At 46.4% G+C, this 14,322-nt stretch overlaps 1 protein-coding gene across 2 annotated transcripts in view, besides 2 other annotated features; it reads right to left on the bottom strand.

The window, feature by feature from the left end:
* The window catches only part of FARP1 (FERM, ARH/RhoGEF and pleckstrin domain protein 1), a 312,588-nt gene that overhangs the window by 131,712 nt on the left and 166,554 nt on the right, over positions 1-14,322 (bottom strand). The window lies entirely within an intron of this gene.
* Positions 7,070-7,712: an enhancer, noted in NCBI's record as "H3K27ac-H3K4me1 hESC enhancer chr13:98968007-98968649 (GRCh37/hg19 assembly coordinates)". NCBI's record gives its function as "activates a minimal SCP1, AML or CMV promoter by ChIP-STARR-seq in primed H9 embryonic stem cells {active_cell/tissue: H9 hESC(primed)}" and the evidence as "EXISTENCE:reporter gene assay evidence [ECO:0000049][PMID:30033119]".
* Positions 9,736-10,030: a silencer, noted in NCBI's record as "tiled region #11603; HepG2 Repressive DNase matched - State 14:Gen5'". NCBI's record gives its function as "represses a minimal TATA promoter and a strong SV40 promoter by Sharpr-MPRA in HepG2 cells {active_cell/tissue: HepG2}" and the evidence as "EXISTENCE:reporter gene assay evidence [ECO:0000049][PMID:27701403]".

The raw sequence follows: 14,322 nt of genomic DNA, 5'->3' as shown, positions 1-14,322 counted from the left end.
GGAAAAAAAAAATACTTCTACTGTAAACAACCACATCTCCGAAGCCAGCAGGAAACTCATTAGAAAAAAAAAAAAAAGCCATGTGAATTTCTCATTACAGAGACCACTTGAACCATATTTTAAATAAAATCGAGTTGCCTTTCTGATTCCACTACCTGGGCACACCTGCTTAAATATATTAATGAAACTGTGGCAACAAATCTAAAATTTTATTATAAAATATGTGCATGACAACTGCTCCTAACTCACAACCAAAAAACCAACTCCCTTTTAAAAGTGTTAAAATAATATATTGATCATTTTAAGGATTGTAAGCAACAAATCCTTTCACCACGGATCATTAAACATGAGATAAATATCCCCATTTCTATAATGCATGTAATTTTAAGTAATGTTTAATGTTAGTAGCCACTATTACATCCTGCAATTGTGTAGTGCCAGCAACCATATATCTAATATTACTGTTTTTTCAAACATGAGCTTATTCACAACCATAAACTCTTCCTATTACGAATGCAAATATTTTCCTCCCTCTCCCATGACAAATAGCTATTCTGCCAAAAGGTCTGGAGAAACAAATTTCTAGGCAAATCATCTGTGTGTGGCTGACATGCATGTATGCGTGGTATATACGGTATGTGTGTGCCCGTGTTTTCAGTTGGTTGGGTTTCGGCTGCCTTTGTGCAAGATGGTTATTATAACCGTGAAATTTAAAATCTGAAATGCACAGTACCAGAAAGTCCTCGGCTGAGCTGTGATTCTTGGATAATTCCCGGGGAACAGCCTCTACTCAGTGCCTTCTTCCTATCACACAAGAGTTTTCCTTCTGTTTCCAATAAGGAGCATGTAAGCTCCGGGTCTTGGTCGCATGGCAGTCAGAACTGTACTCGGCTAAGGAGCACTGACGGCTAAGGAGCACTGACAAGTGAGAGGGATGATGGTGCAGCATGGTGGCTCTTGCAAGCAAGATGAACTGCAGTCCAAATCCCAGTGCTCCCAGAAGCATGTGGATTTGGGCTGGAGCTAGGCTGGTGTTCACCCTGGAAGTGGCATCATGTCACTAACAATCCTTCACATTGCCAGTATTTTTCCTGGAGTGCCTTTCAGGTGGTGCTGACTCTCTCCTAAGTCCTATGCCAGGCACATTTTTTTGTTTGTTTGTTTTTGAGACGGAGTTTCACTCTTGTCACCCAAGCTAGAGTGCAATGGTGCAATCTCCACTCACTGCAACCTCTGCCTCCCAGGTTCAAGTGATTCTCCTGTCTCAGCCTCCGGAGTAGCTGGGATTACAGGCACCTGCCACCATGACCCACTCATTTTTATATTTTTAGTAGAGACAGGGTTTCACCACATTGGCCAGGCTGGTCTCGAATTCCTGACCTCAGGTGATCCGCCAGCCTCGGCCTTCCAGAGTGCTGGGACTAAAGGCGTGAGCCACCGCTCCTGGCCCTGTGCTAGGTACTTTTCAATCAAACAATACCCATTTTAACCCTCACAGAAACCCCACCAGGAAGTACTGGAGGAAGAAACTGAAGAGCAGGGAAGGTTGATAACTGCCCCAGCTATTACGTGGCAGATCTAAGATTTCAACTCAAGTTTGCTCAAATCCAAAGCCCAGGCTGGAAGGTGGTGACATCAAATTCTCTCAGATGATTAATATTATCAAACATTTTTCTATTCCATAAAATTTCCAAATAACAATGCTCAAAGAGCTATGGTTTTCTTTTAATGACTAAGTAGCTAAAATACAAAAGTCATATGAGGCCAAGAGGCTTCCCTTAACTGATTTCACAGAAGAAGCACCCGTTTAGCACGCACAGGTAATTTGTCACAGAGCCTTCTGTCTCTGCCTCCATATTAAAGTGTTTCTTTTCTGCAATGGCATCAGGTCATCATCCCCCTGGAATGTCTTCTGGTATTGCTACTTTGGCCATAAATCTAGCAGTCTATCTGTCACTTAAAGAGCATGACATACCACAACCCTGGATAATCAGATGGTGATTTTTGTCCTTTCCCTGAAGCTGTTTTCAATTCTTAGAACCTTTTTCAGACACAACCATTTGTCTAAGCGTGGGTTTAACTTCACGCTTTGATATGTAACTCAAGTGTGCTTTAGTCAAGCCTGGACTCAAGACTTTCAACAAGTTAACTCATTGGCCATGAGATGATCCGGCTGAGTTTCTCCACGACTCCACAGAAACAAATGGGATCCTCAGTTTCGGTCACAGGGGATACAAGCGAAAAGAGAGAGTGGGATCCTCCATTCCACAAGGTCAGTGGTGACAGCTCAGCTCTTCTGGAAAGACCAAGAGTCCTGGAGGGTTTGTCTGAATCCAATGGCTGAATAAGACCAACAGCCATGGGGACACTCACACATCATAGCTTCAAACAACGTCAAAGGTGGTGATGACAAGTTACCATCACGTTCTTCTTCCATAACCCAAAGACTCCCAGTTCGTGAGTCACAGACATTGAAAGGCACCTGCGAGGGTCACCTGCACCTTCTCAAACTGGAGGTGTCTCTCGGGGAGTGAACAACAGCTCCAGTTTTACATTTAGATTTCCGGGCCTTCTGAGTGACTCGGAGGAGATAGGGCTCTAATCCTGAACATGCCAACAACAGCAATTGTCTAACTGTGTCTATCTAAACCGGATCTCGTCTGGCAGCTCATATCAACCCACAGGGCCCAACCTTTGGGAGGCTTTTTGGAAAAGAAGATAAGAATGGTATCCAGTTTGAAGATCACTGTTGAAGATACCATTGTTGGAGGTGTTCAGAATAAATGCTTTAAAACAGTTTTGTTTACAATTTAAATTCCAACAAATCCTGAGAGTTTTCTAACAGTCTAAGGTGTCCATGGATACCAAAAAAGCAAGTTAAATCTGTTCATTCTTATCTGACTTAAGAAACCACCTTAGTATCTCCATGAGGTGTTATGTTATCTGCTGCTAGGGATAAAGAGGTTAAAGGAGAAGTGAGTACCTGTTCTTGGTTCTAGTTCATTCTAGTCATCCAAAGATGATTTTGAAACTACAGCTTCACATAGGTGAGGACAGGCACAGGTGTTATTCCCAAGTGGTGACGGGCAAACTGGGTAAAACTATAATAGTACGAATACCTGGCAGCAAGACACGCACATCCAGATTGTACGGAGAGTAGGGGGCAGGGACAGAGGGAGTCCTGAGCACACCTGGGCCGATCAGGTACCTTTTCAGGAACCTGGAACTACAACTGATAAAATAATTTTCTCTCTCCTTGTGAGCCTTGACTCCAGGCCCACGTATGAGAATGGGCATCTTCCAAGAGGCCTGGAGACACTAAGCATGCAGGTCTGCAGATGAAGGGAAGACGGCAGGCACCGAAGAGCTAGCCCGGGAGGAAAACAGACAGGGTGTCTGACCACACAGGCCTGGCTCACGTAACCTCACCATCCTCAGCTACATTCCACCCCGGGTGTTTCAGACACCCCCATAATGTGAGGATCAATTTCCTTTTTCTGCTTAAGTTACCTCAAGGTTGTTCTTCATTTATAACCGAAGAAGTAATACCTAATTCAGAAACACACTTTTAACTTTTTTTCCAACTTATTTTCAAGAAAAAAAAAAGTCTGTTGTTTTTTTCCCCCAGCAACTGTAGGTATCCAGATTTCAAAGATAAAGACTGGACTTGGTTTTGCTATAAATCTACTAGAATGGCAGATTATACCAAGTTATTTGAGGAAAATAAAAACAATTTGATCCTGACAAAATAAGAATCCACATGCTCTACTGTGGGTTTATATTTCATATACATTTATGAAGGGGAAGAAGAGAGATAAATGGAGGCTGTGAACTCATTCTTTTCTGAGACAGAGTCTTGCTCTGTTGCCCAGGCTGGAGTGCAGTGGCGCAATCTCAGCTCACTGCAACCTCCGCCTCCCGGGTTCACACCATTCTCCTGCCTCAGCCGCCAGAGTAGCTGGGACTACAGGTGCCTGCTACCACGCCTGGCTAATTTTTTGTATTTTTAATAGAGACGGGGTTTCACCATGTTAGCGAGGATGGTCTCGATCTCCTGACCTTGTGATCCGCCTGCCTCAGCCTCCCAAAGTGCTGGGATTACAGGCGTGAGCCACTGCACCTGGCTGACGAACTGATTATTTTCTATAATAAATTATATTATTCCCTTCCAAGTATTTTACTATTTAAAAACAAAGTTTCAGGCCAGGTATAGTGGCTCATACCTGTAATCCCAACATTTTGAGAGTCCCAGGTGGTCGACTGCTTGAGCCTAGGAGTTTGAGAGCAGCCTGGGCAACATAGCAACACCCCATCTCTACAAAAAATAAACAAAAACTGGACGGGGCTGGTGGTGCACACTTGTGGTCCCAGCTACTTGGGAGGCTGAGGCGGGAGGACTGCTTTAGCCCAGGGGGCCGAGGCTGCAGTGAGCTGAGATCCTGCCACTGCACTCTAGCCTGGGCAACAGAATGAGATCCTGTCAAAACAAACAAACAAAAAAAAAAAAAAAAAAACAAGAAAAAACTAAGCTCCAAAGGAAGCAACAGGTACATATGAAGACATATATGTCTTGTATTTCACACAGATGCATAAATGAAACACGCATACTTTCCAGAAAGATACAAACGCCACCAGGCACACAGACAAGTGAGGGCAGCCCCATTGCCTACTGCCTACAACAGGAGGGAGGGGCCAGGAGCTCCAGAGAGACAGGGCAGACAGCAAAAGACATCAAAGAGAAGGCAGACTGCTGGGTGGGGTGGTGGCAGTCTGGGCAACCAGCTCTCCCTCCCAACCTGGCGCCATGCAAGGTCAAATGGAGAAAGTGCGGCAGCCCTGGAAAGCAATGGCCACTTCTACCAGGGAGATGCCAGGGTGCCTCAGGGCAGCCTGTGGCTCTCATCCTTGGTCACATCTTCCCTGATTAAGTGAGATGGCAGCTTTGACACTGCTATGGACTAAACTGTGCCCCATCCAAATTTACAGGTCGAAGTCCTAACCCTGTGTGTGGCCACGGTTAAAGTAAGGAAATACAGCAATTAAGGTTAAATGAGGTCGTAACGATGCCGCCCTGATCCAATAGGATTCACGTTCTTAGAAGAAGAGATAGTCGGGAGTGGTGGCTCATGCCTGAAATCCCAGTGTTTTGGAAGGCCAATGTGTGCAGGTTGCAAGCTCAGGAGTTTGAGACCAGCCTGAACAACACAGGGAGACCATATCTCCACAAAAAAAAATACAAAAATTAGCCAGGTGTGGTGGTGCATGCCTGTAGTCACAGCTACCTGGGAAGCTCAGGTGGGAGCTGAGCTTGAGGCTGTTGTGAGCCATGATTGTGCCACTGCACCCAGCCTGGGTAACAAAGCAAGACCCTGTTTCAAAAAAAAAAAAAAAAAAAAGGAGGAGGAGAAGGAAGGAAGGAGATGAAGAGGGAGGAGGAGGAAGAAGGAGATGAAGAGGGAGGAGGAGGATGAGGAAGAGGAAGGAGAGAGGAAGGAAGGAAGGAAACGCAGGAGAGAGGAAGGAAAGAAGGAAAGGAAGGAGAGAGGAAGGAAGGAAAGGAGGGAGGGAGAGAGAGAGAGAAAGAAAGGAGGAGGAGACACCAGAGTTTGCTTGCTCTCTCTCTGCCATGAAAGGACACTACAAGGAGGCGGCCCTCTGCAAACCAGGAAGAGAGCCCTCACCAGGACTGGAATTGGCCAACACCTTGATCTTGGACTTCCAGCCTCCAGAACTGTGAGCAAATACAATTCTGTTGTTTAAGCCATCCAGTCAGTGACGTGTGGTTATGACAGCCCCACCTAAGTGGTATGGAGCCACTTACAGCAAAAGACAGAGGGGAATCAATTAAAAACTCAAACCCCATCTTTACCTTCTTTGGATAACAAGTGGATAGCAACCAATCACCTTTTCAGCTGGAAAGGGTCTTGGACTATAAGGAAGGGGATTTTGTCGTCAGGACAAATTTCCATTTTCAAATATACTTATGGAGTCAATGCCTCCGGTTCAAAACAAGGAAGGAGACCACCCAAAATGGGGTTTCATTTGCTAGTTGTGTGGGCAAGTGGCTGTGCCAGCTACTCAGGAAGCTGAGGCAGGCGGATCCCTTGAGCCCAGGAGTTCATGGCTGCAGTAAGCTATGATCGTACCACTGCACCCCAGCCTGGGTGACAGCGCAAGACCCCAGCTCTAAAATCAAACAAACAAAACCACACATGCAATTTTTAAAAATGAGATTTCATGTTTGAAATCTCTCTTGCTCTCCCTTCTCTCTCTCTGGTACCTGCAATTTCCTTTAGGATTAGCTTTGGCCAAACTAATAACCCATCTTCTTGGCAGCAACGCTAGAAATAGGGAGTGGCAGCTGGAAGCAGAGAGAAGTCGCCCTGCACTCCACATGGCTGTGTGTGTCTGTGTGCTGAGCATGGAGCTGCTTGTTCTCCAAAAGGAAGCCCTACACTTGCAAAAACTGTAATTCTGGGGGTGATTTCAGAATCAGCCTCACAGGTGTTCCTTCCTAAACTTTCCTAACCTACTGAGAACGTGTAACCAAAGTGGGATGTGAAAAGCACCCCTATTTGCTTTCCAACTGGTTGCTTCTGAGCGGGAGTTAATTCTTCACAAAGAACCTACCTACACACACCCTCAAATGTCAGGCCTGGTGTTATCTCTGGTTCCATCACAGCGGTGGCTGCTCAAACCAACTGAAGGGGACAAGACTCATTTCGGCAAAATCTCCCCATGACGGAATCACTGGGTAAAGCTATACACATGCTTGCAACGCAGTGTTCTGGCATCCACTAGTTACAAATAAAAACTTTAGCTGTGTTACAACGCAAGGATGAAGATGACTTGGGAGACCCCCAAGGCGAAAGAGGTGGGACCCCAAAGGCATGGCTGCTGGAGGCTGAGCTCTCCAGGGCAATGGGCCTCACCTGGATGGGGAGGGGGCTCCGGGTCCTGTGTCTGCAGGGTGCACCAGGAGCTGCAGAGGATCTGCCACGCATGGGCTGTGTGACCTGGAACAAGTTCTTTAACCTCTCTATGCCTTTGTTTCCACATCTACAAAATTTGGGATGATCCAAGAACTACCTAGCAGGATTCTCATGGAGATTAAATAGTTTTTCACAAGGAAACAACTTCCAGCAGTGCCTGACTGCCAACAGGAACCCCCTGTTGGCTAGGGGTTTTGCTTGTTAATGGTGTTATGACTTTTTTAGGGAGTCCACATCTGAGAGTAGGGGACAGCTGGTTCGAGCCAAGGCGGTAGCTCTTCACTCTACTGTTAAAAATAGCTCAGCACCTTCCTGAGACAAGGGTTGACACACACTGAATGAGAGCAGCCTGCAGTCAAATGTTCACAAACAAATTCAACAGCAACCATGAGGGTTGACATACTCCAGCCGAAACCGTCTCATGTGACAGATTCCTCCGCATTCCCCGGGTCCATGACATAAGCCGCACTTCAGTGTCACTGTTGGAAGGCACTGGTGATACTGTCCATAGGAGGGAGAGGCCTGAACATCTGAAACCACTGAAGATTATCAATGACAATAAGACGCTGAAAAATGTGAAGTTCTAGGAGCTATTTTATTTGAGGATCACAATTGTAACTCACCTTTGGAAGCGAAATTGGCAAGAAATTTCTTACTGCCCGACTGCTCTTACTGCTGGGCTGGGACTCAGAAAACCACCAGTGAATTCTGAAGTCTCCTCACTGCAGTGACTCAAGCATTCACAGTCTCCTCTGCATCTTTTGTTTTCCAGGACACCACGAGGCGAAGGAAGGAAGAGCGAGCAGATGTGAGCTCCTAAGCACGGCCGTCTCCACCCACTGCTGCACTCCTCAGCCTTCCCAGACACAGCCTGGTTTTTCCTACTGCACATGGCACTTTCATGAAAGGCCACCTGTTCTCACATCTATCTCCTGAAACTCCTTTAGGAGTGGAGACAAACGGGCACAAGTAACTTGAGTTGTAAAGTTCAGGAAAATTTAGATAAGTGCTTGATCATAACACATCAGCTGGTTTAATGGACCATCTTCGCATAAAACACTTCATCCTTGTCTGGGAGGGGTGCTCATACCTGTAATCCCAGCACTTTGGGAGGCAGAGGCGGGGCATTGCTTGAGCCCAGGAGTTCGAGACAGCTTGGGCAATATAGTGAGATCTCTGTCTCAGCAAAAACGTTAAACAGCTGGGCATGGTGGTATGTGCCTGTGGTCCCAGCTACTCAGGAGGCTGAGGTGTACTGTGGCTGCAGTGAGCCAGAATCACACCACAGCACTCCACCCTGAGTGACAGGGCAAGACCCTGTTTTAAAAAACAAACAAATGAACAAAATTTCATCTTTAACTCACAGTCGATTGTTATTGTGTAACCATCTGAGAAGGCCCAAAGAGCCATTTAAGGAGCCCTGGGAGCGCTGTCCTGTTGGCCATCCATGACTTGGCCTCCCAGCTCTGGGTGTTTTAGCTTCTCTCTCGCCCACACAGGGTCCTGGTGTTTTTCCAACCTTCTCCACTCCAAGTCTTTGAACCATCTGCTATCTTCAATCCGAGTCCCAAGCAAACACAAAGCTCCTCCCAACAATACATACATACAATAAGGACAATCGGTCTGCCCCTCTCTTCCTTAATTGGCTCATCCTATTTCCCTAGAGGTGCTCTGGGAAATGCGTCCCGCAGGACCACAAGAGCTGGGTTATTCGTGGGGTCTAATTGCCTCAAAAAGGAGACAGCAATTTGCAGGGCCTGGCTGATTTCATTTAATTTGCTTTAAGCAAATTCTGCTGTCATGTCAAACTACCCAGGATTCCACCACAAACATTTCCCCACCTCTTTCTTTTTTGAGCCGTCTTGAAATTATAAAATGAATAACAAGATGACATAGGCTGGGCACGGTGGCTCATGCCTGTAATCCCAGCACTTTGGGAGGCCGAGGCGGGCAGATCATGAGGTCAAGAGATCGAGACCATCCTGGCCAACATGGTGAAACCCTGTCTCTACTAAAAATACAAAAATTAGCTGGGCATGGTGGCACACGCCTGTAGTCCCAGCTACTCGGGAGGCTGAGGCAGGAGAATCGCTTGAACCCGGGAGACGGAGGTTGCAGTGAGCCGAGATTGCGCCAGTGCACTCCAGCCTGGCGACAAAGCAAGACTCCATCTCAAAAAAAAAAAAAAAAAAAAAAAAGACATAAAATATAATAAATGTTGCTAACCAGCAGAATGCCAGGTATATAGTAGGATCTCAGGAAAATGTTTGCTACTTTCACTTTCTCACCAAGAAGAATGTGACTTATAACACTGGCTCCATGTCAAACACTGACGTAAGATCTAGTGTTCAACCCCAAGCCTCCCTGCCTGCACCTGTACCCATCCGCACACACGTTCTTCTCCCTACATGCCTGAGCTTGGACCCAGCTCAATCCGTGTTACACAAGAGGGACCTGTAGCTTGGGCAGCCTTGGCAACCTGCCAAACGGTGAGTGAGCCGTGAGGATGGGACCCTCATCCTAAACCCAGTCTTTGTTTAGATGATGATGACTTGCAAGGTGGTGGGTTTTTCTCGAAGTCTAGTCTTTCCTAAAAGTGGGCTATCACAGGCGCTCTTGTGGGGCGAGGAGGTGAGCAAAGAGCGGGCCGAGATGAGGAGGCGGCTGGCAGGTCCTTCCCTATGATCCCTTCCCAGTGTTGTGCCATGTTACTTCTTCCGCATTTTTTTTCTCTAAAGGAATGACGATAGACTCATGCTAAAAAGGCTAGCAGACCAAAGCAAAAATCTTTCAGCTGGGGCTGCGAGGGGAGCCTTAGCTATCATAGAGAGTAAGTCCAACAGCAGCCTTAGGTAGCTGGCTTGAGTATCAGTTTCTTAGGGACAAAGGTCCATTCATGGGTGGCTTAAAGGAACAGAAGTTTATTCTCTCACAGTTCAGGAGGCCAGTAAGTCCAAGGTCAAGGCATTAGCAGGGCCGGTTCCTCCTGAAGGTTCTGGGAGAATCTGCTCCATGCCTCTCCTGGTGGCGCTGGCAAGCCCTGGCATCCCGCTCCTGGGTTTGTGGCTCCAGCACTGCAGTCTCTGCCCCCATCATCACACGGCCTTCTCCCTGGGCCTGCACGTTTGTGCAGGTGTGTGTGTGTGTGTGTGTGTGTGTTTGGGGGAAGGGGAGGATTATGACCCACCCGATTCCAGAGTGTGTGTGTGTGTGTGTGTGTGTGTGTGTGTATTATGACCCACCCGATTCCAGAGTGTATGTGTGTGTGTGTATTATGACCCACCCGATTCCAGAGTGTATGTGTGTATTATGACCCACCCGATTCGAGTGAGTGTGTGTGTGTGTGTGTGTGTGTGTGTGTGTATTATGACCCACCCGATTCCAGAGTGACTTCACTTTAACTTACATCTTCATTACATCTGTAAGGACTCTGCTTCCAAATTAAGTCACATTCACAGGGCTTAGGACTTCAACATATTTTGGAGGGAGCACAGTTCAACCTAAAACAGCTTGACTTCTGGAGTAGCCCATGAAAGAAAACCCTGGCCCACTTCTCCTCCTGCCCTCTTTAGCCAAATTATGTCTGTGATAAAGTCAGAAGCCGCACTGTAAAGACCTCGGGTAAGCCAGTGAGCCCAGCTGAGGGAGAAGGCAGAGCGCCCTGTGCACACGGCCTCTATAGTGACTCAAGAAAACGCCGCGGCTCTGTTGTGATGGTTCTTATGCAGGAGAGGCTTATAAACTGATGTAAGAGATGCTTCAAATTTTTTCTTATAAATAATGTCCCCATCTTCTAAAGCCTCCTAGTTTTAAAAAACAGCTCTGCCCCAGCTGGGTGTACTAATTATTCCACTGAGCTATACTGACCTCTTTTCCGGTGGGGGGGGAAGCATTATGAATTTCTTGTATCATCAAAATTAAAACTGAAATGCTAGAATAAATCCATCTTTTCTCTATCTTGAATACTTACAGTTTGAAGCACAAACATGCACCTTGCAAACTGAGCTATGACCACCTTAAAAATAGCATTTACTGGCTGGGCGCAGTGTCTCACGCCTGTAATCCCAGCATTTTGGGAGGCCGAGGCAGGCAGATCACAAGGTCAGGAGATTGAGACCATCCTGGCTAACACGGTGAAACCCTGTCTCTACTAAAAATACAAAAATTAGCCAGGCGTGGTAGCGGGCGCCTGTAGTCCCAGCTACTAGGGAGGCTGAGGCAGGAGAATGGCATGAACCCGGGAGGTGGAGCTTGCAGTGAGCCAAGATCACGCCACTCCACTCCAGCCTGGGCGACAGAGCGAGACTCCGTCTCAAAGAAAAAAAAAAAAAAAAAAAGCAGTTACCACCTGCAATCCCAGCACTTTGGGAGGTCAATGCAGGCAGATCGCCTTAGGTAAGGAGTTCAAGACCAGCCTGGCCAACATGGTGAAACCCTGTCTCTACCTAAAAAAATACAAAAATTAGCCAAGCATGGTGGTAGGTGCCTATAATCCCAGCTACTCCAGAGGCTGAGGCAGGAGAACTGCTTGAACCTGGGAGGCGGAGGTTGTAGTGAGCCAAGATCGTGCCACTATACTCCAGCCTGGGTGACAGAGCGAGACTCCGTCTCAAAAAAAAACAAAAAACAACAAAAAAAAACAAAACGAAATAAAAGAACAGCAGTTACATTGCAGGCAGGCAAACCCATCATTACGGTAGCCATTCCTGCTCATCAAAGTTTATTTTTGAAAGTACGAGTTCTCTCTAGGAGAATTTCAAAGGCTCTTACTTTATTTAAAGTTTCTCCAGAAGGATAAGATTTTTAAAGTGTAAGAAAGGGCCACCAACCAGAATACGGCTGGGATTGCATTGAAAAGCCACCACTTTCCCAACGTGTGCACGTGTGTGCACACACACACACGCACATGCACACACACACACAGCACCCTGATTTGCTATCTGCCGATTTTCCTTGCTCTCAACTGGCAGGAAAGGATGAAGAGAGTATGTCATGAAATTAAAAGATACTAAAATATTTAAAAGGCCAAAATTCATTGCCCTAACAGGAAGCAAACCAGGGCTGGAGGTGGGAGAGGGAGTCACACACAGACCTGCTAGTACTTTGGCAACTGCTTTCCTTTGGGAGAGGAAACAAACAAACAAAAAAAACCTGGGATTAAATCCCACTCAGTCATTCCTTAGCCATGGGACTTTGACATAGTACTGATCATTTTGGGCTTCAGTTTCCCATGTGCAAAATGAGGATAACTTCCTGAAGCTTGCAGGTTTGCAGTAAACATGAAAAATATCACAATAGATACATTAGGCCACCAGGGCCACAGTGAAAGTTCAATCAAGAGTGGTGCTGCTGTTAATTTGTAAGTGTGATTGTTTCTGCTGTAACTAAGAAGTTAATGATTACTAAGAAGCAACAGGTCCTTAACCCAGTTTTCCACTGAATTTCCTTACTACCTCCCTTGCCTTTCACAAACTTCCCACAGATAGAGCCTGTTTCCTGCTCCATGAACCCTAACAATTTCTGGGAATGCTATTGCTATGCCCTTTGACCTCTCCTTCTTAGGTAATGGGGAAGGGGACTCTGACCCTGCATTTCCAAAGAGCTTCTCTCTGCAAGGGGGCAGGAGGAAGGATATATTGAGATTCATCTCCAACAGGAAACTTAAGACAAATAAAATCAAATCTCAATAAACAATTTGAGTGTACTCAAAAATACTGTCTTTCTTAGGGGATAAAGTTACTCTTTGAAACAAATCAACATCCTGGCCCACACCACCCACCACCACCCACCACCACCAGTCACACAACACCTTCAACTGGACAGCCCACGAGTTTCATCCCATCCTCTAAAATCTACCAAGTGTTCACACTTGTAACTGATATCTACCCCATCTCCAAATGTCAACTCGAAACCTCCACATTTCAGACTTTATAAATTAGCAAAATAGCCATTTTTGAAAATTTCACTAAGATTGGAATATTTAAATTCCTAGTTTCAAATTCTTCAATCTAATGTGCTCTGGGCCACATGAAGGCAGATGCACCTGGGCATAAGCACAGCTGTGTGGATGATGAGGATGTCTGTGTCATCTTTGTGATGCCTAATTACTGATGTACAGATTTATTTCAGGCTGTGGCTATAACCCTTCAGAGGAGGGAGGGGTTTAGCCATGGTATTTAGGAAACTCCACCAAAGGAACCATTCCTGGGGAGGCACAGAGGCGACCTGCCTCTCTGGAGTGATGGGATCCGGTCTAGGACTGTCAAAGCTGCCGTCGGGAAGGGGAGGCAAGCAAGCTGCACTGTGGAAGTCATCGTCATTCTGTGTCTTTATTTCCCTGAAGGCCATCGAGATTATCTTACACTTAAGCCTATTATGGGAAAAAAAAAAAACATGTAATCTATTAAGTGGAACAAAAGAGCAGATTGGAGGAATAGAGAGAGAGAGGATGGTCCCATCGGCGTAAAAACCAGACATCAACGCACACAGACAGAGGAAGAGGTCGGAGAGAGGACAGTATCCCAAGTGTATGGGGATTACTTCTGAAGACCAGGATTACAGATGCGGAATATATTTTCCCCTTTTTGCTGTATCTCCCATTGTGTTAAAGTGCACGGGAATGGCTTTGTCACAAGGGAAAACAATGCAAGCGTTCACCCACCGTTTCGAGTTTGTCCGTTTGGGGTAAGGGGCTGTTGCCTACACAGGCACAGTTCCGCATCACCTAACCCCTCAACAGTGCCTTGACGGCGTTTGCTGTTTTTGGCAGTTTCTGCCTTCCTTGTTCTGCCAAATATGGCAACTCCTCCCTCCTTTCGTTCCACTTTTTATTCTTTTTTAAGCATTTTTTAAGCATGGAAGTCTCCCATCTCGCACCAGCCTCTTCTGCTTCCTACAGCTTCTCTCTATCCCATCTCTGTCCAGGAGAAATAGAATATGAGCTACAAATATAAGTTAAAAGTTTCTAGTAGCCATATTTTAAAAAGTTTAAAAAAAGGCCTCTTGGCCGGGCGCGGTGGCTCACGCTTGTAATCCCAGCACTTTGGGAGGCCGAGGCGGGCGGATCACGAGGTCAGGAGATCGAGACCATCCTGGCTAACACGGTGAAACCCCGTCTCTACTAAAAATACAAAAAAAAAATAGCCGGGCGTGATGGTGGGCGCCTGTAGGCCCAGCTACTCGGGAGGCTGAGGCAGGAGAATGGCGTGAACCCGGGAGGCGGAGCTTGCAGTGAGCCGAGATTGCGCCACTGCACTCCCGCCTGGGCCACAGAGCGAGACTCCGTCTCCAAAAAAAAAAAAAAAAAAAAAAAAAAAAAAGGCCTCTTAAA

The sequence above is a fragment of the Homo sapiens genome, chromosome 13 (genome assembly GCF_000001405.40).
Source record: "Homo sapiens chromosome 13, GRCh38.p14 Primary Assembly".
Taxonomy (NCBI): domain Eukaryota; kingdom Metazoa; phylum Chordata; class Mammalia; order Primates; family Hominidae; genus Homo; species Homo sapiens.
This window is presented reverse-complemented; position numbering and strand designations above follow the sequence as displayed.